The 26,893-nt window shown below is 40.5% G+C and overlaps 1 protein-coding gene and 1 long non-coding RNA gene across 12 annotated transcripts in view, besides 4 other annotated features; one reads left to right on the top strand and one right to left on the bottom strand.

The window, feature by feature from the left end:
• Positions 1-11,748, bottom strand: part of LOC102723338 (uncharacterized) — a 55,402-nt gene extending 43,654 nt beyond the window's left edge. For 4 of the 6 annotated variants that reach the window (XR_007058461.1, XR_007058458.1, XR_007058459.1 and 1 more), the window contains exons 1-2: positions 2,210-4,005; positions 1,239-1,362 (exon numbers count right to left, since the gene is read on the bottom strand). This is a non-coding gene — a long non-coding RNA (uncharacterized LOC102723338). Of the gene's footprint in view, positions 1-1,238; positions 1,363-2,209; positions 4,006-11,075 lie in introns of those variants that run through there. The other 2 variants (XR_007058460.1, XR_007058456.1) reach the window with 1 other exon arrangement.
• Positions 12,261-12,470: a silencer, noted in NCBI's record as "silent region_15546". NCBI's record gives its function as "represses an Ori minimal core promoter by ATAC-STARR-seq in GM12878 lymphoblastoid cells {active_cell/tissue: GM12878}" and the evidence as "EXISTENCE:reporter gene assay evidence [ECO:0000049][PMID:35858748]".
• Positions 12,447-13,400: an enhancer, noted in NCBI's record as "H3K27ac-H3K4me1 hESC enhancer chr4:85504073-85505026 (GRCh37/hg19 assembly coordinates)". NCBI's record gives its function as "activates a minimal SCP1, AML or CMV promoter by ChIP-STARR-seq in naive H9 embryonic stem cells {active_cell/tissue: H9 hESC(naive)}" and the evidence as "EXISTENCE:reporter gene assay evidence [ECO:0000049][PMID:30033119]".
• Positions 12,511-12,610: a silencer, noted in NCBI's record as "silent region_15547". NCBI's record gives its function as "represses an Ori minimal core promoter by ATAC-STARR-seq in GM12878 lymphoblastoid cells {active_cell/tissue: GM12878}" and the evidence as "EXISTENCE:reporter gene assay evidence [ECO:0000049][PMID:35858748]".
• Positions 12,654-26,893, top strand: part of CDS1 (CDP-diacylglycerol synthase 1) — a 68,208-nt gene continuing 53,968 nt past the window's right edge. For all 6 annotated transcript variants that reach the window (NM_001263.4, XM_005262687.4, XM_017007650.3 and 3 more), the window contains exon 1: positions 12,654-13,045. In NM_001263.4, the coding sequence (NP_001254.2) occupies positions 12,929-13,045 (117 nt within the window). In that variant the 5' untranslated portion in view covers positions 12,654-12,928. The remainder of the gene's footprint in view (positions 13,046-26,893) is intronic.
• Positions 25,768-26,745: an enhancer, noted in NCBI's record as "H3K27ac hESC enhancer chr4:85517394-85518371 (GRCh37/hg19 assembly coordinates)". NCBI's record gives its function as "activates a minimal SCP1, AML or CMV promoter by ChIP-STARR-seq in primed H9 embryonic stem cells {active_cell/tissue: H9 hESC(primed)}" and the evidence as "EXISTENCE:reporter gene assay evidence [ECO:0000049][PMID:30033119]".

A 26,893-nucleotide genomic window follows, 5' to 3' on the forward strand; every position in this document is an offset into this window, starting at 1 on the left:
ATGCATATGTAAAAATTCAAGTTTTGCCCTTAAGATATGTGACCTTTACTATATGTATATAATGCCACAGTTGAAATTAAAAAGGGGGAGGTTCAGAATCCACACATCCCTTGGAAGTTTTTAACAAGTATATGAGCACATTATTCTTTGTAGGGCCCATTGCAGCTGTGTAGATACTGAGGTGTCCCCTGCCTCTCCTTAGCCCATGTGAGGAGCACAGAGATTTCACAGCCAGACCCCACTTTCTAGATACAAAGACTTAATTTCATAGTCTATACTCTTAACAACCACATGCTAACAGGTAGACTCACAGTTAAGACCGCACAGACTTATGTCCCACTGCCCCTATAGTCTTCTCCATCTCTCTAAGAGATGTCCCATCCTTCCAGTTGTTCAAAGCAAAAACCTTGGTGTCTTTCTGTCACATCCTGCCTCCAAGCCAAAAGAAAATTCTGTTGGCTCTACCTTCAAACCATAAAGAATTTGATGCTTTCTCATGACCTCCTTAATTAACAAGCTGGCACAAGCCACCATCATCTCAGAAGCCTCCCAACTGGTTTTCTGATTCTATCTTAGCTCCTACAGTCCGTACTCCACATGGCACCAGGACAATCCTTTCACAACTTAGGTGATCATGTCATCCCTCTTCTTAAAATCTTCCAATAGGCCAGACGCAGTGGCTCACACCTGTAATCCCAGCACTTTGGGAGGCCAAGGTGGATCACTTGAGGCAGGAGTTTGAGACCAGGCTGGGCAACAGAGTGAGACCCTGTCTCTACAAAAAATAAAAGAAACCAAAACCTTCTGATGGCTTCCTATCTCTGGGTGCTTATCTCATTCAGAGTGTAAGTCCTTAATCAGTTCTACTAGGGCTTACATGATCCAGCGACACACACTCCAAGTCAGGCTGGCCCCTGATCATCTTCTTTTCACTCATTCAGCTCTGGCTACACTGACCTCCTTGTAGATTCCAGAAGATGTTTAGCAAACTCATGCCTCAGAGCCTTTGCACTTGTTCTCTCTACCTTGATTGTTCTTTACCTGGATTATTCACGTGATTCACTACTTCACCTCCTTCAGTCTGGGGCTCAAATTGCACCTGACGATTAGTGGTTAGGTCTCCTCTAACCATTCTAAATAAAATAGAATACCCCTGCCCTCCCAGATTTCACCCTGCCACCCCATCATAATCCCCTACCCTCCCATCTAGCAGTTTTATATTTCTCCATAGGACTTACCAGCTAACATTTTATATATTCATTTGTTTATTGGTCTGTCTTTCCTCTCTCCACCTTTCCAAGAATATAAGCTCCAAGGGGTAAGTGATTTTTGTCTGTCAGATTAACTGTCATAGATCAACACCTAGAATAGTATGTGGCACAGAACAGAAATTCAATGAATAGTTGTGAAATAAATAAATATCCCAGGTTCCACATTAGGATACCTGGTTATTCAAATATGATGCATTTAAACAGTATGCATGAAATAGTTCCTAAAATATGAAAGAGATGAAACTATTAAAAATTATGAATAAAAACAATATTCAATAATAATTATGAGCCTTGCAAAAATAAATATTGAAATACCTATCTTTACATCTCTGAATAAGTGAAGCTACTGTGTTCAGAAAACAGTTGGGAATTCACAGGTAATCCCACATTTCTAGCTACTTTTTATAAAACACTCAATGGAGCCGTCTGGTAGGAAATTATCTATTAGCTCATTGCCCAAATTCGAATTGCTACTTATAACTGATTAAAGTGCTTCATAGAATGCGGAAAACATCCTGATGCTTCTGATATGAGATAGGATATGATTGAGGCCCTTACATTTTGGCTTATTATGAAGAAATTATCTTACTTTCTTATTCTGACCCCTTCTGTAACTGTCTTTATGCTAATGGTTTGCAAGCAAATATCTACAGCTCTTAAAACTAGCAAGGCCGGCTTCCTGCTGCCACCTGCCTGAGATGTGTCACAGGCTCCTTGAAGTATCCATGTGTGAGCATGGACATAGAGCTAGCCAGTGGGTGGAGCAGAGAGGGTAGGGTCTGGGTGGCAGATGTAACTTCTCTACTGATTCTTGTTTGAACTTGGGCAAGTGATTCTCTGCTTGTCCTCATCTAAATGATCAGTAGATTAACCTTACACGTTTGTGGTAGGGATTAAGCATATCATATGTAAAATGACCAATAGTGCCTAATACTTACTAGGCATCTCATTTTTTCTCTTCCATCTTCCTTCAACCCTATTTCTCCTCCTGTAGTCCCAGTCTCCAGGAATGACAACACCAGCCACCTGGCCACCCAAGTCAAAAACGTGCCTACGTTTCTTAATTCCTCACCCTTCCTTTTCCACATGCAGCTGCTCAGCAATATATGTTGATTCAATTTCTTGTAGCCTCTTAAATATTCTGTTCTGTAATGAGAAGTAATTGTAGTCACATGTGGTCATAAGGGTAAGGCCATGGTCTGATAGGATTAGTGTCCTTATAAGAAAGGTCACTGGATAGCTCTCCTTTTCTCTCCACCATGTGAGGACATAGCAAGAAGGCAACCGTCTGCAAGCCAGGAAGAGGGCCCTCAACAGAAACCAGTCAGGCTGGTACTGTGATCTTGACTTTCAGCCTTCAGAATTGGGAGAAAATAAGTTTCTGTTGTTTATGCCATCAGTCTGTGGTATTTTGTGATGGCAGCCCAAGCTAATTAATACAGATTTTGGTATACAGAATGGGGTGTGTTGCAAACTATACTTGAAAATGTGGAAGAGGCTTTAAAACTGGGTACAAGGTAGATAGAGGTCAGAAGAGTTTTGAGGTGCATGCTAGAAAAAAACCTAGACAGTCATGAAGGGACTGTTGGCAGAAATACCAGGTGTTAAAGGCCATTCTGAGGAGATCTCAGATGGAAAGAGGAACATAAATTATTGGAAACTGGAGGAAACGTGATTCTGGTCATAAAATGTCACAGAAATTGTCTGAGTTGTGTCCTAGTGTTTTGTGAAAGGCAGAACTTGGAAGCGATGAAACTAGATATTTAGCTATGCAGATTTCTAAGCCAAGTGCTACAGGAGTGTCTTGGTTCCTCTTGCTTAGTAAAATGTAAGAAGTGAGAAATGAATTGAAGAAGAAATTGTTATGCAAAAAGGAACCAGAGCTTAAAGATTTGGAAAATCTTCAGCCTGCCCATATTGCAAAATATGTGAAGGCATGTTTGGAAGAGGACACCAAGAGTGTGGCTAGACTATCACTTGATAACAAAGGTTATAGAATTATATCAGCAGAAATACTGTCAGTTTGAACTGAAGAAGATGGAGACAGGACAAAATGAAGAAAGGCTGTCAGATTTAAATTCTATAGGACAGTTACGATAGAGCGATTTGACTGCAAACAGGAACTATTCTTCAAGAAAAGGAAAGAATGACTTCAAAGGTGATTCATCAGGGCTGCATCCTTGGTTTCAAAGGGTGGGGCCACAACTGTCTACCACTCTTCCTCCACATCAGCAGGGGTATGTGCTGTCAGACTCATGTCTGGAGAGAAAATTCTAAAACAAAGTACTATGGACTGAATGTGTCACCTCCAAATTCACATCTTGAAACCCTAAAATTCCCAGTGTGATGGTATTTGGAGATGGGGCCTTTGGGAGGAAATTAGTTTATTAGAGTGGAGTCCTCATGACAGGATGAGTGCCCTTAGAAGAACAGACATGAGAGTGCTCTCTTTCTCATTCTCTCTCTCTCTCTCTCTTTCTGCCTCTCTGTTTCTCTGTTCTCTACCCTGTAAGGGTACAACGAGAAGGCAGCTATCTGCAAACCAGGAAGAGGGCCCTCACCAGACACTAGATCTGCCAGAACATTGATCTCAGATTTCCCAGCCTCCAGAACTGTGAGAAATAAGCATAAGTTGTTTAAGCCACCCAGTTTATGGTACTTTCTTACCGCACCCTGAATGGACGAAGACACAAAGTAAAACCCAGCCTGCCTGAGATGGCTCCTGGTAAGTAATGGAGCTGGGAGAGGAGAAGGATCTGATGTAACTTGGATCTTCATGTGATAGCAGAGTAGGCGGGTGAGGGGAAATGAAAGAAAACTGCGAAAACTGCAATTTCCTGCATTTGGCCTCAGCTTTCTCAAATGGAAGTTCTAAAATAAGCAATTCTCGCAGTTGGTGTTAGAATTAAAGAAAGGATAAGTCCACACACCAGTTAGAGAAGTTAGTGGCACAACCTATTCTATCTATTCTAACATATTTCTATCTCCACCCCAACATCATCCTCAGAGGTATTATAATAGGAATCTGAGTTAATCAACATATAGCAATTGGTACAGCCATCTGGGAGGGAAATCTTGTAGAATTTATCAAAGTATTGAATGCACGTATTCTTTGATCTATTGCTCCATGTCTAGGTATCTATAGAATTGCACATGTTTCATAAATATATGTTCAAGGATGTTTATTGCAGTGTTATTTTAATAACTACAAAATCGGGGAAATCCCTAAATGTCTGCTGTACAAATGGCTAAGTAAAATATGGTACAGTCACACCATGTATATATATAATGATTTTAAAGAATTAGAATGTACTTATAAACACAAAAAGTGCTTTAAGGCATAATATTAAATAAAAAATTATGTCACAGAACATTATGTAGAATATATGCATGTGCATATATACTTACATAAGAAACAGATCTGCAAGAAACTCTGGCAAACAGTTAACAACAGTGGTTATTTCTAGGGAAAGAAGTGTTTCCAGAAAGATGGAAAATCACCTTTATGTTGTTATATGCTCTAGATAATACTGTATTGTTTAACTTTTTAACTCTAGTGTGTATTTATGTATCATTTGTGTATATATACATATATATATCTGCTATATAGTGCCTAGCACTGTGTTCTGACATTGTAGGTACTCAATAAATATTTGTTACATATGCAGATGAATATTTATCGAATAAAAACAAACATGCATTATTACTATAGCTGAAGTATCATTTCCAAAAGTGCAAAAATCACAAATCTTATACAAATATAAAATGAACACATATCAAAGATTTCATGCATTTACAAATGAGAGAACTAGAGATACATTAAAATTAGTTCAAATGGGTTTCTGACTTAAAATGATTTATATCCTCTATCAGACAAAATTCACTTACATTGCCATGAACAAGAACGTGGTTATCAGTTTTCCACAAAGCACTTTTTTTATTCCAACAGAGTTGTAAAACAGCCTATTTGATCAAAGACAATCAAAGGTGCATCCCCAGCTGGGCATGGTGGTGCACACCTGTGGTCCAGCTACTCCAGAAGCTGAGGTGGGAAGATCACTTGAGTCCAAGAGGAGTTCAAGGTTGTAGTGCACTATGATTGAGCCTGTGAATAGCCACTGCACCACAGCTTGAACAACATAGTGAGACTCCATCTATAAAAAAAAAATTGTGCATCCCCCTATGAAATCAAATAGTGCCTAGCAGGCCCCCTAGGCATGCTTAAGGTCCACTGTAAGAATAGCCAGAAATTTCTTTTGCTCATTTCCAAATCAATTTTTCCCAACACTGGTATGTTAACAATCAGGAGGATCACTTGAGATCAGGAGTTCGAGACCAGCCTGAGCAACATAGCAAGACTCTTGTCTACAAATAAATAAATAAATAAATAGGTTAGCCTGGCATGGTGGTACCTGCCTGTAGTACTAGCTACTAGGGAGGCTTAAGCAGAAGGATCCCTTGATCCCAGGAGTTTGAGGTTGCAGTGAGCTATGATTGTACCACTGCACTCCAGCCTGGGTGACAGAGTGAGACACTGTCTCTAAAAAAAAAGAAAAAAAAATAAAAATAAATAAATATTTGTCAAGGATTCCACAGTTCTGAAAAATTGGTTTAATCTACATATATACAGATCAATACTGTTCACTTATTCTCTTAACAAGATCACCAAATTTGTCTAAATTTGCTTTGCAAGTAAGGTAATGCAAAGCTTTGCCTTATGAAATCTCAAAGTGTCCTTGAATAAGATGTTCTGGAAATAACTTGGCAAAACCTAATCGAAGTAAATCATTGTGGCATTTGTTCTTTAAAAGCAATAGTACAGAACTTACACTCTGCATGGTATGTTGCTGAAGCCCAGTTTGTTAACAAAAACACAAAACAAAAGAACACCACTGCTGTATTAGGTCTTTCTTAAGCATCTTAGGTTAACAACCAGTCCTGGTCCAACCAAAGACACTCTAATAGATTTCCTGTTCTAGGATTTTCCCAACTGTCTGGAGGCCACAGTCTTTACTACTCCCATTCACCAACTCCTCCCAGTTAAATGCATAAAAATGCATCAAATGCTAAATGGTAAAATGCATAAATTATTATTGTTAAGGGGAAATTAATCTCCACAATAATTTGGGATATTAGTATAATTTGGGGGGCAAATCAATGACATTTCTGAAAATACGACAAAAATATTTTTTAGTAAATCAAACTATGAGAAAAGAGACAATTGCAACAAACAATAGGTATCACCAAAAATATGTAAACTTTAAAAGTCTTTTTTAATTTTCAGGAATAAAATACATTCACCAGTGAAATAATTTTTAAAACATATTATTGACTATATTTTTCAAACAAAAAATGAGGCCTCATATAGTCTAGGAAATTTTTTTTTGCTATGAGAATATATAGATGTGAAAAAGTTTTCAAAATAAAAAAACATATATAGTTACATATTTAATAAATACTCTTCACTGAAAGAAAAAAGTACATATAATTGGGACTATCTGGAAAAATCCAAGATATGTGATCTTCCTAACAATAATCTTTAGAGTGTTGTACTTCATAGACTCAATTAAATCATTTTTAAAATGCACCATATTTTATGTACTGTGAAGAAAAATAAAATGGCCAATAAAACTATTTCTTATTGCATCAATTGTAAGACACACTGTGATTTTAGAGGAGTTAAAACATAAATAAGTAGGATGTCTTAGAGGAGAAGTATAGTGTTTATCTCTTGTAAAAGATATAAACTAAAACTTTTATTTATCTGATTAGCAAGGCTCTTTTCACAGAAATCTTAGGCTATTATTGCATTTTACCAGAATATGATTCCTCCTATTAAACTATTATTAATAATAAAGAGTTTGCGAAGAAAAAAACCTAAGTAAGAAAGGATTAGCAATTGCAACTGTGGCAACCAGTGACTGGTGCCTACCTCAGTGACAGAGCAAGCTGTCATGTCCTGTTCCAGTGGATCTAGCAATGGTGGCCTCAATTGAGGTTTTAGGAATAATTTTGACTGTAATCCTGACTGTTGCTTGAAATTCCTTGTTTCTCCCAGTTTTCTATGCTGTGTTCTTCAGTTCTTCCAAGAGTTCTGTGAACTTCTTAACATCCTTTCAATAAGTTCCTTGTCTGCCCAACTCAACCAGAATCAGTGTTTTTTGCCGCATGCTTTAACTGATACCTCTGGATTTCTGCAATTTGTTGAAGAGGGATAACTGACATAGTTTGAGGCAAATCAGTGATTCGGCCCTTCTAAAGACAGTTACCAATCTCTTCCACTTCTCCAAATGATATCCTCTAAATATATATATATATATATATATATATATATATATATATACACACACACACATATATATAGCCATATTCAACAATAACAAAATACTTGAACCATACAGTATAAAAAGCTCACATATACCCATTTTTAAAAGCACAATTTATAAAATTATAGAAGAAATATGTTGCCTACTTTACAAAGAAATTAAAACAAAATTTAATTTGCTTAGAGCTACTAGGATTCAGTGAAGAACCTAGAAATGGAAGGAATTCCACAGTCGTCATATTATATACAAGGTAGAAGAGTAGTAACTGATTTCAGTTAATAATGGGGAATGCCAAATTCATTAATTGTACTACCTCAGAAGGATAAGGCACAAATTAACTAATTGGGTAGGCTGATTTCTTTGTACTTGTTTGCAAAGTCTCTCTACCCCATTTCATAATTTCTACCTACCTCACCAAAGCAATATCAGCATATCCTTATTTCTTCACAGTCCTCTGGGGTGTTGCAGTTTAGCGAATTTAGAAGTCAAATATTGTTCTCCTCAAGAAATGTAGCTTTCAATAATATGAATGATAGTAATAAGTAACACTTGTGTGGTGCTTCACGATGGCCAGACACTATTCTAAGTATTTTACATATATTAACCAGTTTAGTCTTCATAAGAATCCTAGGAAGAAAATATTACCTTATCCTAATTTTGCACAAGGACACTGAAGCTAATTGCCTAAGGCCAGTAGGTGGCAGAGCTGGGATTTGAACTCAGGCTAGCTTCAGAATTTATGTGCCTGTTATAACAAACTAACCCCCACCCCCAGCTTTAGAAGTTGCTTGTTTCTGCTGCTATATATTTGTACTACATCATGGACCAGGCAGATTTTGAAGTATAAAACTTAATATAAGTTTTATACTTATACTAAGTATAAAAACTTAGCTTTCCTTTCTAACCCTTTACATCTAAGCCTCAGGTTTTCTTCCTTGTAAAACAGGAGTAATATTTGTTATGCCTAGCTTGTAGATTGTTGAGTAGAAGAAATGAAATAATGCATGCGAAAGTGCTTTGTAAAGTGTTATGTAAAGAATTATTACTTAAATTATGAAGGAACATGTCATTTAGGATATAGCTTCAGCTGTGTTTGATGAAAATGTTGCTGAAAGCAAATTAGGTCACAGCTAGATTCAAGCTATGATTCAAGCTAGGTTCAAGCTATGACTCAAACCCAGGGTTCTTGGTATAGAAACTCCATACTTCTAACTACACCATAGCACTCTCTCCTCTGATACTCTCTCACTACAATACTTGATAGTACACCATTATTTTCCCGTGCAATTCCATTAAAAATAAAAATGTAAATATAAGTTGTTTTTCAAGATTTTCCCATAAAATGTTTCTCTGGTGGCCTAAATCAGAAATTCCTACCTCTAACTTATAAACAAAGCTGACAGAGGGCAACAGAGAAAGATAGGTCAAGCGACAAAAGCTGTTACTTGGGTATCTAAGCAACTGGAAACGCTTGGCTGAGGAAGATTTCTTCCGCCCCTGGCAAGCTGGGGACATTCCAGCAGGGCACCTTTGAGCCTCTGATGTGAAAAGCAGCTCAGATTCACATTCCCACCCCAGAGGGGCATGTTTATCAGTCTGGGAACATTCTGAGGGTATTCAGGGAAGAGTGGTAACAAACTGCTTCATCTACTCTCACTACTTCAGGCAACGTCTCTGCATCTTATGCTCTTATTACTTCCAGCAAAAGAGAAGGTAAACAGTAATCTAAAATAAAAACCATATAAGCAATAACGTTAGCACTCTCTCTCATCTCTCTAGCAAATTCCTCATTAGGAGTTAGAAGGTGAAAAAAAATTTTTTTTAAAATTTTTTTTTTAATTTTTTTGAGATAGGGTCTCACTCTGTCACCCAGGCTAGAGTGCAGTAGAGTGAACAGGGGTCACAGAGGCCTCGAACTCCCAGGCCCAAGCAATCCACCCGCCTCAGCTTTCCAAGTAGCTGGGACTACAGGCACACGCCACCATGCCCAGCTAATTTTTAAATTTTTGTGTAGAGATGGGGTCTCCATATGTTGCCCAGGCTGGTCTTGAACTTCTGGGCTCAAGAGACATTCATGCATCAGCCTCCTAAAGTGCTGGAATTACAGATGTGAGCCACCACGCCCGGCTGGAAAATCTTAAAATCAATCCAAGAAGTGCTGGCTGGGTTGTACTACGTGATTAGGCCCATGCATATGCTTAGGGTTTCCATGAAGCCCTTCAGCAGGATAAATACAAGAAAAATTAACAGGTAAAGCCTTAGAAACCATTACACGCCAGATTTTGTGTTACCAAACACAAATACAATAAATTTAGAGAACATAAGTTCCCTGAATGAAAACGAAAGATAAAAATAAAAAAGAAAGAAAAAGGAAAAATTAGAAAAAAGACATAGAAAAAGTCTGAGAACACAGAGTTCCGTAAGCCAGTTGTGGTTGAGTATATTGTACAGTATCTTAAGTAAAATAAAGTCATTACTACAACCACTTTTAATAAGTATTAAAATCAACTTCTCTCTGATATAAAGTGAAAATGAAGAAAAGTGTCTATGTAAGTCTAAAATAGACTTTAAATGAAGAAACCATAAATACTATACATTCATGGGTTGCATAACAATGTTTCAGTCAACAATGGACCACATATACCACTGTAGCCTATAAGATTATAATACCATATTTTTATAGTACCTTTTCTATGTTTAGATACACAAATACTTACCATTGTGTTACAGTTGTCTAAGTAATAGGCTATACCATGTAGCCTGGGTGTGCAGTAGGCTATGCCATCTAGGTTTAGTATACCCTGTGATGTTGCCCAATGATGCATTTCTAAGAATGTATCCCCACTGTTAAACAACATATGACTGTATAAATTTCCCTTGTTGTGCTATACCTTTGCCATCCCATCATTTCTTCATTCACCTCTTCAGCAAACATTGTTACCTATAGAAGGGTGGTTTTTGGCACTGTGGAAAGAGCTAGACCTGTAAAGATGAATAAGCCAGTTTCTGCTGTCTGGACTCAGTCTATTCACTCAACTAGTGGTAATAGCTATAATGAAGAAGATTGAAAGAAATTGCTCTCTTAGCTAAAACACAAGAAGGAGCAGAGCTTAAGGAAGGTGAGGTAAGTAGAACCTCACATTCTATTTTGGCAGTCTTTGCATTGGTCCCACTTTTCCTGGGTTGGGGAATACTGTTTCTTCTATCACGCACTACTGTCCTCTGTTGTTCCCCTCTGTCACTCCTCTCACTCTCTTTTTTCCTCCTGCAGCAAAGGGAAAAAGTCAAAGAGGCCATGAGAGGACTAGGCAAAGGGGAAACAGGAAGTTGTTCAGGTACCTTGTGTAGTAGGTCTCCTTTTCTTGGACCATGGGGGAAAGCAAAGGCTGGATTCTGATCGTCTAAGAGCTAAAAGGGACCACAGAGGCCATCCTTACTATCCGTTTACAGCTGAGGACACTGAGGGTTAATAACTTACCAAGGCCATGCAATTAGTGGCATTGGCAGCACTAGAACTCAGGCTTCTTGACTTCCAGAGAGTTAGAATGGAGCACTTCTAATCCTTTATGCAGGGTAGGGTAGTAGCCAGAGATGGAAACCCTACTACTGGCTTCAGCCATTATTCTGATTATCTTCTTCACTATCAAGCACTCCTTCATTTCCGATCCTCCAAACAATTGGACAATTTATTAATGTAGTCACCCCATAGTTCTCTGTTCAGTAGGGACTTATTTTCAAATCTTCTCTGTCATTTCAGTTATCCACCCCATAAGGAACAAATTATGGTTTCTCGACATCCTTTTGAAAACGTGCAACCCAAACTAACCGCACAGCTTCAAAGATCTGTTTGGTGAGGTAAAATGATGTCTTTGTGTTCTGCTTTTCAATGCATCCTAATTTGACTTTTGGTTTTGCTCATTTGTTAGTAAATTTTCAACACTTTACTTACTTTTACCGTGTCAGTAAAGACCTTGAGGAATTTACATAGTTGATCTATTTCTATAAGGGTGCTCTCCTGAACCTTGTCCTGTGTGAAGGCCCGCCTTTTTTCTTTTTTCTCTTTGTTTCTCTCTTTTTTTCATTTGTTAGCTTGTCAGTAATGACCGGGTGGCGGATACATGTCAAGAAAACTAATCACCTTCTAACAGGATTAAGACTAGAATTAATGCAGATCTTGTGCCCTTCCTGTTCCCGCTTTGGCAGCCCAAGGTCCACCACTGCTCAGAGACTAGCTGGAGGGCAACGGCGTCCCATAGCATCTCACACTGTGTTGGGATCCTAGGTGGTGACCTTTGTGAGATTCAGTACTGAGTTTCTGGGAGACGGCGCTGCGGTTGTGATCGGAATTGTTGGCCGACGCACCTCTGGACGCCCAGTGAGGCAAAAGCATCTCCTGTTTTCAAGGTGATGACACTGGGCTGGAATGCCGCGGGGCCAACCAGTCCGTCCTGCCAGACAAGTTTCTGGTCCAGTGAGCCTCCGACCCGCCGCGCGTGTCAAGCTGACAAGGCCGGGGAGGCGTTTGAAGCAGCAGTGTTGAGCGCTGTTAACATTTAGCGGGCGTCTTTGAGTAGCTCCTCCAGCCCTCGCAGCGGCCCAGGGACTAGCCTGCAAGTTCTCAACGCTCACTTCCAGCCCGCGCTGGCCCCGCCTCCGCCTCCCAGCTCCTCAGCCTCCTCCCGCCCCACCGCTCCCACCTTTTCTCAGGCCCCCACCTGCCAGCACGCAGAGGCGGGGGCGGGGTCGCGGGCCGGGCTCCTGACGTCACCTCACGGGGAGGCGGGGCTGTGGGAACCGCAGTGCAGCGCAGAGGGGCGGGGCCTGCGGCGCGAGACCTGGTGCGGGAGGCCCGGGCAGGGAGAAGTGTGCGGGGCCGGGACAAGCCGGCTCCGAGTCCGGCTCCGGGGGGCGGGGCGGGAGGGGCCTGCGCGGCGGCGGGAGCCCAGAGCCGCGCTAAAGCGGGTCAAGCGTCCTCCTTTTCTCCCCGCCCCTTCTCCTCCTCCTACCTGGGCCTCTGCGTGGAGACGCGCACCTGGCAACCGGAGGCCGCGTCTCCGCCTTCTCTGCTCGCGCCTGGCGCCCGGAGCCTGCCCGGGACCTCCGCCGGAGCCGCGCTCGCTGCAGGCGGCCTCGAGCGCTCTCTCGTTGATGCCGTTTTGGAGGTGACCGGCGCGGCGGCCGCTCTATGGTGGGGCCGCGTTAGTGGCTGCGGCTCCGCGGGACTCCAGGGCGCGGCTGCGAGGTGGCGGGGCGCCCCGCCTGCAGAACCCTGCTTGCAGCTCAGGTTTCGGGGTGCTTGAGGAGGCCGCCACGGCAGCGCGGGAGCGGAAGATGTTGGAGCTGAGGCACCGGGGAAGCTGCCCCGGCCCCAGGGAAGCGGTGTCGCCGCCACACCGCGAGGGAGAGGCGGCCGGCGGCGACCACGAAACCGAGAGCACCAGCGACAAAGTAAGTGGAGCCGAGAGAGGCGGACGCCGCGCCCTGGCTGGGTCCTGGTTGGAAGCGGGACACTTGAGAGCAAGGGTGGGGCCCGTCCAGCGTCAGGTGAGGCTGCACGCTGCCGGTGCACCTTCCTCCCTGCCTGGCACTGCTTCCTCCTTCTCCAGAGGGGGTCGGGACCCGGGATCCCAGTGGCGGTGAGGTTCCCAGGATGACCGCGGCCGCTGCCCGGGAGAAATGGGCCACTCAACCCGGCTTACAGTTTAGCTTCATCCTCTTCCGGTCCCTTCTTCAGGATCTGGGGCCGACGCTGGAATCAGGAGGGAACCTGTCCTCCTAGGGGCTGCAGTGCAGTTAGTAGCTGCCACCTCACCTCTCTTTTCAGTAGAGGGAACAAAGTTAGTAAGGACTAGAGACGTGCCACCGTCGGCTGTATCATTTCATCGGATCCTGACGCGGGAGGCTTGGCTTCTCGCGCTGCCCCATATGCACTTACATTTTCTCCATCCTTTTTCAGTATGATAGATTTTGGAGGTTTTAGAGTATCATGCACGTGACATAATAGTAATCTTCCAGCTTCTTTTGAGTACACGACAGACAGTGCAATTCTTCTGTCTACCAGTAGATTTCATATAACCCGACGTTAATTCATGAAGACTTTTCACTTCCTTTTCTATAGATTACTCTTCTTTCACATTTAAGAATAAGTAGATGCGATATTACTATCTGTTTAAAGCTAGAAAAGGAATTCGGGCGTGTTTGGTAATATAGTGGTGCAAGTAAGAACTTGTGAAGAAATGCAGTTTTATGATCTTATGGACTGGATGGTTTGGGAAATTGGACCAGAGAATAGATTGTTGTATCAAACCGTCTGTTTAGAAAATTCCATTTTATTTGAGAAACCCAAAACACGTAAACTGTTTCTAGAAGCATACTTTGGAAGCAGGCATTGCAGTTTGAATTACAGAAGTGAGGTGGATTGCCCAAGGTCAAGTTCGTGGCTCTTGAAACTAGAATCTAAGTTTCCTGATTCCTTTTCTTCTGGTTTATGTGGTTGCTGAGACTGGCTGGCAGTTCTGATTTGGGGAGGATTCCACCTGAAAGTTGATGTTGATGAGTTTGATGTAACCCAAATTACAAAGCCCTAATAGGAACATATCACATGATATCACGAAATAAACGTAAACGTGATTCTTAGTACTAAAACTTTAGAATCAATGGAATCAATGTAGTGACACTTTTCCCCTTACCCTTGATAGTAAGTAGAATAAAATGAGTCTGTAATAAAACATAAGTGTCAAGGAATTACCCAAAATATAACAATTTCCAGCTACTGAAGGTTGAAGTTACAAAACTAGGAACAGTGGGCTGAGAATAGTCTTTGTGAAAACTGCCTTGGAAACTAGACCCAAAATAGAATTAATTAGGTTGGGATTTGTTTTGTTTTGTTTTTAGCACTGGTATAGTTTAGCATCAAGGAAATACCAGCTTCTCTATGCTGACTTCCTTAACTCGACAAAGCTAACAAGCTTTTGTTAAGAGAAAAGATGTTCAGGAAGCCATGCATAAAATACCTTCGGAATTAAGTTTTTTCTTTTTTTAACACCATAATGTATTTAAAATGGAAACTACTTCTGTAGTGTGATTTGACTCATTAGAACTGTTGTCTCTAGCTATCTGTGACTAGGTTACCTCGCTGCATATTTATTTATTTATCAATGCAGTACTGTTGGTTTTTATTGACACATGTCCAGCTGGATTTTGTTTTCTGAAAGTAGACTTTGCTATATGTAACCTGTTTTGTCAAGATTTCTTAGACAAGGATGAACATATTCAAACCATATCTAAAATACTGCTCTACTTTTAGAGTTTATCATGAGGAACTTTTGACTTGGCAAGCTGATAGATATTGAACTCTATCCCTGTCTGTCCTTTCTTATCAGGGTGTGTATTTGAATACACCTGTATTTCCAGGTCAAGGGCTATTTTAAAATCAGTTTGCACACTGGAGGCTGGTTAATATTTGGTCAATTCAAACTCATTAAGGGCCTTCCCTGTTCAGTTGCAGTAAAGGCAAAACTCTTGGGGAATTAGTGAAAGAAGTGAAGGAGGTACATTATATTCTGCTATTATAATACACTCCCATGCATTGCCATTTTGTAGTCTTTTAATAATGGTGTTATTAACATGACACTCCCTTTGTTCCGGACTGGTGACTTATGCTGAGAGAAGGCTCTGTACTCCAGATAATTAGCAAGTGAAAAAAATACTTCTTACCTGCAGAGGAATGTTCCCAAGTGTTAAATGTTGGAGTGGTACTTGAAAAATGACAAGGGACATCTTCAAGGAACCCTGCAGGAGACATATATGAGTTAGATTTATTGGAAGTCTGTACAAGGCTCATTGTTAGCATAGAGGGCATGCTTGGCGTCTACCTGGAGACTGTAGGAAAAGCTCTAAACAGTGGATGAGGATTGAGCTGGGAATGAAAAGATTCCTGGGACTCACCAGGTTTACAAGGGTTTGGGTAGGGTGTTCTAGGCAAAGGACGTGTTGGGTTTTTTCTTGAATCAGCATTCTAGGCACAGGGTTGCAGATACAGAGGAAGAGATAATGAAGGTCCTGAGAGCAAAAGGAGGAGGCATTGCTTAGAGCAGTGGTCCCCAAATTTTTTGGCACCAGGGATCAGTTTTGTGGAAGACACTTTTTTCCACGGATGGGTTGGGGGGATGGTTTCAGGATGATTCAGGTACATTACATTTATTGTGCACTTTATTTCTATTATTATTACATTGTAATATATAATGAAATAATTATACAACTCACCATAATATAAAATCCATGGGAGCCCTGAGCTTGTTATCCTGCAACTATACAGTCCCACCTGGGGGTGATGGGAGACAGTGACAGATCATCAGGCCTTAGATTCTCATAAGGAACATGCAGCCTAGATCCCTCGCATGTGCAGTTCACAACAGGGTTCAAGCTCCTGTGAGGATCTAATGCTGCTGTTGATCTGACAGGAGGCAGCGCTCGGTGGTAATGCGAGTGATGGGGTGTGGCTGTAAATACAGAGGAAGCTTCACTCGCAGACCACTCACCTGCTCTGCAGCCGGGTTCCCAACAGGCCCAGTTCCTAACAGGCCGGTACTGGTCTGTGGCCTGGGGGTTGGGGACCCCTGGCTTAGAGGACATCATCAGTAGTACTTAGGAATAAGGGCTGAGATAGAACGTGGAGTTTAGCAAAAGATCTAAGTAGAAGCAAGTTTAGGTTGAGGAAATTGAGAGGTGAAATGTTGGTAGTTATTGTTATAAAGTGGCAGTGAAAGGAATACAGGATGGCAACTAGAGAGACAGGAGGATTAATGAAGATTTTTCTTTTCAGAGGAGGGGAGATATATATTTGTATGAAAGTCAAATGAGTAAAGATGTTGAAGACAATGGGTAGGCCCTAGGAAAAAGAAAGCAAACATGGGGTAGAGACTATGGATTATTGGGATATCCAAGGAAAGAAAAGAGGGATGCATGTCTTTTCCTTAAGAAAAGAAAGACGGAATGAAGAGTGGATACAGGAACATTTTGAAAAGCAGAAAGGAGAAGATCAAATGTTGGATGCCTTCAGTTAGTAAAGTAGGAACTCAGAACCAATGAGCTTCAAGGGATCTTAGAAACAACTTGGTTTAACTCAATTCATATATATTTGTATTTGTATATATTTATATATAATTTGGTATATATACAATTAAATTTTAAACAATAAATTTGTATTCAGTTGAATCTTCACTGAGTTTAATAATTCTGTATAGTTTTATAATAGTTACCTTTTGGTCATTTCCTATCACACTTCCCAAAAATGACAGTTCAGATGTGTTCCAGTCACGTTCAGTGTTGTGTGACTGTGTGTTAGGAATATCCCCATTTAATAGCTGAGAATAAGAAAAGCAATGGGAGTGATTTAGGCCTGGGGAGTGCCAGAGGTCCAGGATGTAGGGAATTAGAGAGTCAGTGAAGCCAAGATTGAAGTGGATGACCACAGATTCAGGTCGGCAGGGAAGTGGGCTGGTGAAGATCTAATGGGTTGAGTGGGAATGAGTATTGAAACAGAAAGAGCTAAGACATGACTTATGTAGAGACCAAGGGAGAACTTCCCCTCTGCCCTCTGAAGACTTGCCAGAAAAAACTGACAACAGGTAGATTAATCGGAGAAATGGCATACAAGTTTATTAACGTGTGGGGTGGGAGGAGGGAGACAGAGTGATTACCTGAACCCCAAGAGGCTCAGAAGCTTATATACCATCTTGAGGCAAAGGTGGTCCTGTCATGTAGATGAAACCTCATAGGGAGGAGCCCTCAGAGAGAATAGATGGTGAATATTTCTTTCAGACCTTTAAAAGTGTCAGACTCTCAGTTAGTCTTTCCTAGATCCAGACAAGAGAGAACCTTCAGAGAAGGCCAGGTTGCATCAATGCAGATTTTCTCTACAGACACAAATCTACCTCACAAAAGACAGCTTTGCAGGGCTGTTTGTTTGCAGGCCCTCTGAACAGCCATCTCAAAATATGTCAAAGAAGTATAATTTGGGGTGAAATATTCTGATTTCCTTCACTTGCTAGACCCTGAAGTGGGAGAAAAGAGGGTGCACATTGAGGCTGTGGCCAGTCAAGGGGAGCACACGTGGAATAGTGTGCTTTCAGGTAAGATCCCTGTGTGTTTGTGCATGGGGCTGCTACTTAGGGATTTTGGTTTGTGAAGTTGAGGAGAAAACAATCCAGAGATCAGTTAACGTCTCTCCTCCATTTGAGATGTGTGCAGCTTCTTTCATAAATACATTATTATTTTCAAATAAACTTTTAATTTTGGAACAACTTTGATTTATGTAACCACCCCACAGGTTCTTCTTTCTTGCTGCCCAGATAGAACTGGTTTATCAACACGGGAGAATTGCAATAGAGAAAAAGAGTTTAATGCACACAGAGCCGGCTAAACAGGCGGCCAGGGTTTTATTATTACTCACATTAACCTCCCTAAAAATTTGGAGGCTAGACTTTTTAAAAGATAGTTTGGTGTGCAGGGGGTTAGAGAATGGGTGCTGCTGATTGGTTGGGGAGGCAATTGCAGGGGTATGGAAAATGGTCCTTGTATGCTGAGTCCATTTCTGGATGGGGGGGCCACAGGAGTTGCTGGTTTGGGAGGAGTTATCCAGTCATCAGAAATATAAAAATCTGAAAGTGGTCTATCTTTTAAAAGGCCAATCTTAGCTTCTTTAATAGTGATATTATGTGTAGAAGTAATTGGAGAAGTTGCAAATCTTGTGATCTCCAGACCAGTGGCTGGTAATTGTTTACATGTAATCACAACAAAATTCAGTCCCCTCTCATAATCCTAAACTTGTGACCTTTTATTAGTTTTATAAAGGCAGTTTAGTTTAGGGAAGAGCTGTTATCATTTAACCTGTAAACTAAATTCTTCCAAAGTTAGCTTGGTTCTCACTTGGGAATGACCATGGGCAGCTTGAAGGTTAAAGGCAAGATAGAGTTGGTTAGGTCAGATTTTTTTTCACTGTTATGATTTTCTCACTGTTACAGTTTTTGTAAAGGTGGTTGGTTTTATTTACAGAAGCATTACAAAGATTTCTATGTACTTTTCACCGACTTTCCCGTAAGGTTTGTATCTTGCATAACCGTGGTACATCGGTCAAAACTTAAGAAATTAACATAGCTATAATATCATTTTAGACTGTAGATACTATTCAGAAATTCACTGGTTGTTCCACTATCCATTTACTGCCCTGGGATACAATCCGAGATTCAACACTGCATTTAGTCTAGTTTATTTTGTTATTGTAAAAGCCTTATTGTGTTTTTGTAAATTACTTCTTCATTTTGGTACACTTCACTACAGGTTGTGCTGATGTCACCTGTAAGTGTAATGAACATTTTCTATAGTTTTTCATCTAGATCTAGGCCATTAATAAAATACTAATGTTTAGATCTAGATTTCTGGACTACCATTTGGGCTGATACTCCCTAATTGTTGATAAATTATCAGTCAGTATTACCACCTAAATAATTTTCCATGATTCAGCTTTTATCATGCACAGCATATTCATTTCATTTAATAACATTTTTTTAAAATGCTGGCTTCCAAAATATCGGCAACCCAGCCAGGTGGTAAGACAGAGCTGGGTTTTTAGCTTACTGCAGTGAGGAACACTTCCACAGAGCCTTGGTAGTATTTCAGAGGGGGAGAGGCAAGTTGTAACGTATTTGAGAATTGGAAGTTTGGTTTAAGGCAGGTCTTTTTTGTTTTGTTTTGTTTTGAGACGGAGTCTCACTCTGTTGCCCAGGCTGGAGTGCAGTGGCGCGACCTCGGCTCACTGCAAGCTCTGCCTCCCGGGTTCACGCCATTCTTCTGCCTCAGCCTCCGACGTAGCTGGGACTACAGGCACCCGCCACCACGCCTGGCTAATTTTTTTGTATTTTTAGTAGAGACGGGGTTTCACAGTGTTAGCCAGGACGATCTCAATCTCCTGACCTTGTGATCTGCCCGCCTTGGCCTCCCAAAGTGCTGGGATTACAGGCATGAGCCACCTCACCCAGCCTAAGGCAGGTCTTTCAATGTGGGGAATTGATTAGGATTGGGTAAGGGTCACAATATAACAATTTGGGGTTAGTAGATAAGCCAGATAAGGATTTTGAGGCAAACATTTTCAAAGAGTCTTAGGACTAAACTGTTCATTGATGCTTCCTTTCAAAGAGTTGATGTGTCTTTTAGAAATTCTTGTAAACATCATGAACTCCTAGCAAGAGTTTCCAGGAATACTCAAGTTATACTAATAAAAGAGTGAATCTAAAGGCATGGTAATGTAATAGTAAGCTATGTGCGGGTTAGGAATGGTAGTTAACTTGAGATTTCTAAAGAATATCTGAGGGTTACCATGTGAATTTTCACTTAGTGTTTATGATCTTTAAACAGTTCATTTTCTTATTATTTTGAGAGATACTACCATAGAATGTCATCAACTACATCAAGCTTTGGATGTGTACCACAGTGGGTTTTTTTGATGCTGTCATCCTAAGGAAGAAGCTGAGGCATAACATAGAATTTAAGGACAATACTTGAGCCAAATTTAAAGACTTTACTTGAGCCAAAGTGAGTACACTGCCTGGGACATACTTCCAAGTTGCCTGGGGGTGTGCCTTGGTTGGCCTTTGTTATAAGCAAGTTTTTAAAGGCAAAAAGGAACAGGGAATGGGCTGGTACAAAGTTGTTTGACAGGAATTCTCATTGCCTTACAGAGATAATATTGATGAATGATTGGCTATTCAGTTTTAAAATGTAAGGTATGAGGTACAATGTCTAGTATATGGTATTTTATGGCTACATGGTATCAGTCCAGAGCCAACATAGCAAGTGGCTCGAAGAGGTAATTGTTTAGCTCAAACGGTGAGAGACATGACTGCTGACACATTTTAAATGCCTCTCGGGGCCTGATAATTTAATGAGACTCATATTCTTCAAAATAAAAGTTTCTTTTCCTTTTTAACACAAACAATATTTTGTTTGTCAAAATATACTGGGGAAAAGTGGGACAATTTAATGTCCTCTGGAAAAGTATGAAGAAAAATTAAGATATATACACATGTAGTATGAGTATTCTTTATGTGTTTATGAATTTCATTTTTGTAAAATAGACTCTCACATTTCTTCCCAGATAACACAGATAAATACAGGGGTTTGGCATGTTTGTTTTCCTTTAACCATTTTATATTTGGGGATGTCTTTTCCAAAAATACAGATTTTATTTCAGTGTAAAGAACATAGGTCATTTAAGAAATTATAAACATATTTCTTGAGGCTTGGTTTGGTTCTGTGCATTCAGTAAATGCTTGTTGAGTGCCTATTATAAGCAAGACACTGCTTGAATGTTACTTTTTGGTGGCTTTTTTATACTCTTTGAGAAAAGAGGTGGTGTCAGGATTTGTTTGTTGCTCAACAACTGATTGTAGAATATATTAATCTCTTGAATTATGGACTTTCCCTGCATGGAATAATGATATAAACTAATTTTTTAGTGCAAAATAATTTATAATTTGCAAAATACTTGCTTATACTTAATATCAATTTTAGTCTTTTAACAATTATATAGGCAAGGGAGATAGGTTTAGTTTACATATGAGAAAATTGGAATTTGACAGCCTAAATGCCCTGCTCAGAATCATGGTATTTAGAGCCAGGATTTACCTTAAATTTTCTAATTAAAAAATGTAAAGGAGAAATCAGATGTGTGGTCCTAAATGTATAAAATCAATTTAAAACATTAAGAAAATTTTTACTGTTACTACCTTGTGTGACTTTGGACTAATTTGGTCTTTTTGAATCTATGAAATGTTGGCAGCGGATTAGAAATTTTTAGCTGAAAGCCTGTCATTGGGTGATTTCAGGCGCCTAGATTTAAAACAGCACTTCAAGTGTTTCATCGCTTACTTATGATCAATTTCAAGAAATCATTAGCCTTTATTTCATTTTATAGCTGTTTATACTTTATTTGGTTGAGAAATGTTTCAGAACTTATTTAATGAGAATGACATCACATTTTGAAACAACTCTAGAAATGGAGAGGAAGTAATTTCATTAATGACCAATTTTTTTTTTTTTTTTTTTTTTTTTTTGAGGCAGAGTCTCACTCTGTCACCCAGGCTGGAGTGCAGTGGCACGATCTTGGGTCACTACAAGCTTCGCCTCCCCCGCTCCCCGTTTCAAGCAACTCTCCCACCTCAGCCTCCCAAGTAGCTGGGATTACAGGCACGCAGCACAAAAGCCTAGCTAATTTTTGTATTTTTAGTAGAGATGGGGTTTCACCATGTTGGCCGGGCTGGTCTTGAACTCCTGACCTCAAGTAATCCACCTGTCTTGGCCTCCCAAAGTGCTGGGATTATGGGCGTGAGCCACTGTGCCCAGCCAACCAATTGGTTTTTGATCATCCCTGAGATACACCAAGTTTATTATGTAAGTATTTACTTATTTTCTTATCCTCAAAATGAGGTGAAAGATATTTTTCAGGTCATGTCATTGAATGTTTGTTTGCTTAAGACTTTCTCAGAACTGTCAAGATTTTAAACTTTTAAAATATGAAATTGAAAGGCACAGGATGGGAGAAAAAAGAGTCCAGTCCAGAGTGGACTCTTATCTATGGAAATTTATAGCTGCTTTTTGCAAACAACGCAGCTAAGAAAGCAGTGTTGCTTTTCTGCTTCCTGGCTATGGTTGTAGTTCCCTTTATTTGCCGGAACCCATGGCCAACTATTTAAGAGCTTTCTGCAAGGCTGATGTAGCCAATCTGACTTCATCACCTGGGTGACCCAGGTGGGATCAGACATCTTGACAGTTAAGTTGTGGCTCACTGCTACCTTCCAGTCCCAAGCAGGTCATTTCACAAACAATATGGGGCTGTCTGTGGGTCAATGAATATTTATTAAGCCCATCTGGAAGTTCACATTTTATCTCAATATATAAAAATCCAGATTCAGGAAACCAAATTAGACTCGTCTTTCAAGGTTGTGCTTTTTATTTTTTCATCTACTTACTATGCTTGTACTTGAACCGTCTCAGAGTTGAGGCTTCGAACAATTCTATGGGACACTATTCATGTAGAGTTCAATGTAGATAGTGCCCCCTGGAATTCTGCTTGTAGTAGTCCCATTTATAATAATGTATACTGCTTTTAATAAATATGAGGTTGGTACAAAAAGGTATACAAAGTATACAAGAAGATAAGGATACTAGCTAGCGATCTGGGTGACTTATCCCCTCAGAGGTATTCCTTCTTTGTCTTGATAGGTTTACAACATATGTTTGCATCCTCTGTCGCCTTTAATAATGAATTTCAAATGTATGATTATTTGAGCTCAAAGCTTGAGGATGGCCACTCTGGAGCTTAGATTCAAGTTGCCCTGAGTATACACTCTGATCAGCAGCAGTTACAAGGTTTTTTTTGTTTTTTTTTTCTCGTTTAGATAGAGTCTTGCTCTGTCACCCAAGCTGGAGTGCAGTGGCACAATCTTGGCTCACTGCAACCTCTGTCTCCCAGATTCAAGCGATTCTCCTGCCTCAGCCTCCTGAGTAGCTGGTATTACAGGCGCTCTCCACTACGCCTGACTAATTTTTGTATTTTCGTAGAGACGGGGTTTCACCATGTTGGCCAAGCTGGTCTCGAACTCCTGACCTCAAGTGATCCACCCACCTCGGCCTCCCAAAGTGCTGGGATTACAGGCATGAGCCACCGTGCTGGCCTACAAGTGGGTTTTTAAGGAAAAAAGAAAAGGCAGATCCTAAATTGTTTAACAAGAATTTAGATTAAAATAAACTATTGATTGGCTACACATTGTTCTTTGCATCATAAATTCCAGGAAGATAAGGGGTGAGGCAGCGAGTCTGAAACAAAATGCCTTTAAGTAATTGCTCCCAGGCACGGGTGTGGGGGTGTGACTGAAGTCCCATACTCTGGGGCCTGATAAATTTTACATACCTCACATAGCTGGGTCAGCTCAGAGCTATTTTTCTTTTTTCACCTCAATCAATATATTATTTAGTGTAGGGGAGTGAAAACCCTTCTAGGTTTCTTGGCTGGGCTGCAAATTAAATTGACATAAGACAAGAGAAAAACCATTTTTCTCTTGTTTAATTACATATGTGCAAAACAAAACAGGAAAGAAGGGTCAGATTTTTGAAGTTTATATAGCACCCTGAGATACTGAACGGAACCTATTCAGCTTCTAAGGGGTGCTGGCCACGCAAGTTCTGGGAGGGTAAGGGGAGGAAATGCATGGTGAATAAAGGCTGTCTTGTTATGCGGATAGTCTCTCAGGTAATGAAAGTTGTCTCAGAGCAGCTGTCTTCCTTATACAAATACTTTACTAATGTAGATTTCCTTTATAGATATACATTTTTTTTTTACAAAATAACTGCATTTCAGAGCTACTAATGTGTCTGCAGTTTCTCAGAATTATAATCTTGAAATATACCAAAGAAGTATATTTTGGGGTGGCATATTCTAGTTCTCTATAGTCATATTTTAGGGTAATATGTCCTGAGTCTCAATATTAGTTTTAAAGTTTTCCCTACTTTTTTATTGTAACTTTTTAATAATATCAAAATGTTAAAAGGTTAGTACAATGATCATCAGCATACCTAGGACTTAACTGTTATTAAGAGATTGCTAAATTTGCTTTATCTTGCCATATATACACAGTTGGCTCTCCATATCTATGGGTCATTGCTCACTGCAGGCTCAACTTCCCAAGCTCAAGTGATCCTCCCACCTCAGCCTCCCGAGTTCCTGGGACCACAGGCATGCACCACCATGCCCAGCTAATTTTTACATTTTTTTTGTAGAGATGGGGTCTCCCTATGTTGTCCAGGCTGGTCTCAAACTCCTTGGCTCAAGCAGTCCTTCTGCCTCGGGCTCCCAAAGTGCTCTCAAAGGTGAAGCACAGGATATGAAAACCCTCAAAGCACATCATCCAAGAGGTGGCCAAAATCAGTCTGGTGATGGTCAGTTTTTAGGAAAGGGGTGCATTGTGAAACTGGCAAGCTGTCATATCAAAGCTGCAAAGAGGGAGAGTCCAGTAGCAGCCTCAGATGACTGGCTAAAGGTGATAAAAGAAAGGGTACTCTGTTTCTTGTTTTCTGGAGCTGGTTTCTGCTTACTCCTTAGGAAAGAATTCTGGCTAAAGGTTAATAAGGAAGGGGCATACTGAGGCATGTCCAACCTCCTGTCCTATCGTGGCTGGAACTCAGTTTCCGAAGTTTCTCTGGTGTCCCTTTGGCCAAGAAGGGGTTTGTTCAGTCAGCTGGGGGGGCTTGGGCTTTTATTTTTATTTCTCAATTATTTATAATACCTCATACAATGTAAATTCTACATAAATAGTTGCATACTGTAGTTGTACAATATAGTATGCTGTATTGTTTAGAGAATAATGACAAGAAAAAAATCTATGTGTTTAGTACAGATGCAACCACCTTTTTTTCCCCTTTGAATATTTTTCATCTGAGGCTGGTTAAATTCACGAATATGGAACCCACAAATGTGAGGGGGCCAACCGTACTTGTTTCTCACTCTAAATGAAGGCAAGGCAGAAAAGCTGGAGGCATTATTTATCTTAGCCCTGAAAAAGTGATGTACCTGTGAGAACCAATCATTAATAAGATCTCAGGTAAAAAACAAGTTTGGGATGGCAGTAATAATTCAGATTTTGAGTGAAACTCCTTAATTTTCTCTGTTCTTTTGTGTAATTCCATGGAGTTTTTTTCTTCTAGTGATCTTTATTCTTAATTTGGAATTTAAGACTTACATAAATGAAACCATACAAAATAGTGTGATCTTAATGTATAATAGAATGAGATATCACTGGAGAAAGATCAGAAGGAGCCAAACATCTAGGAAAGTCTTAAAATGGGCCTTAAAATTAAGTAAGATTTGAATATTGTAGATAGCATCTTAGGAATGGCAAAAAACAGAGCAGCAATACTGTAGCCTGGAAGACTTGGCCCGATTCCATTTGGGGATAGAGAGATGACAGTCATAATTCTCTCAGCACATACTCACCAAGCTCCTGGTTGCAGGAATGGCCATGGTGGGTGAGACTGCTGGGTGAACAGGCAATCAAAACATGTCATACAAATGTTGGCATGCGAAGAGTTGCACAAAATGGGCTGAGGAGCTCCCCTAGCTTCTGATTGCTGCTAAAACAAATCACTAAAAACTTAGTGTCTTAAAATAATATAAACTTACCTTACAGTTCTGGAGCTCAGAAGTCCAAAATGGGTCTCCCTAGGCTAAAGTGAAGATGTCCCGGTAGGACCATGTTCCTTCTGCAGGCTGCAGGGGAAAATCTGTTTCCTTGCCTTTTCTAGCTTCTAGAGGCTAACAGCATGCCTTGGCTGGTGGCCTCTTACTCCTTGCTCAAAACCAGCATCACTATACCTCTGCTTCTGTCATCTCTTCTCTGACTCTGATCCTCCAGTCTTCCACTTATAAGGACCCTTGTGATTATATTAGACTCACCTGTATAATCCAGGATAAGCTCACCACGTCAAGATCAGTTGATTAGCAAACTTAATCCTGCCCACTTCCTTAATTCTCCCTTGAATTGTACCAACATCTTCACATGTTCTGGGATTAAGACGTGAATATCTTGGTGGGGGGAGTGGGGAGGGAACCATTATTTTGCCCTTGACAGGCTCCCTGAAGAAGAGTTTTCTAGAAATTACATCTAGGCTGATACCTTAAAGATAAATAGGCACCAGTCAGGCAAAGCCAGGCTCAAAGAGGAAGAGCGTAAGTTATAAATAGAAGAATACCGTAGCACAATATTGAGAGGCTAAGACTCTTCACACTGTGGGGAGCGCAGAAGCTTTAGTTCTGCAGAGCCTGGAGTGGCTGGGTGGGTGTGGCCAAAGCCCTGGCTGGAGAGTAAGAGGAGGCTGGGTTTATACCCTGTGATGAGGAGGTAGGTGGATGATGTAATCAGGTTTGCCTTTTACTCAGGCATTTTATGTTATGTTGAGACACATTTGGTTTTCTCTTATCCAAGCATTGGGATCCACCACAAAGTGTAACTCCTGATTGGATTAGTAAAGTGGTACACTGGACCAACCAGTCACCTCCTTCCTTCAGTGGGGAATAGAACAGGGCTGCGGAGAAAGATTTGGGGACGAGTCTTTCCCTTTGCAGTTCAAATTAAAAAAAAATAAGGAGGCTTTATCAATTATCATTAATTAGTGTAGGATAGGACCACAGAGCTGATGAATGAGGTAACCAGATTTCTGTCTATAAAATACAGTGTTGTGGGAGCA

Source organism: Homo sapiens, chromosome 4, assembly GCF_000001405.40.
Source record: "Homo sapiens chromosome 4, GRCh38.p14 Primary Assembly".
NCBI classification, from domain to species: Eukaryota; Metazoa; Chordata; class Mammalia; order Primates; family Hominidae; genus Homo; species Homo sapiens.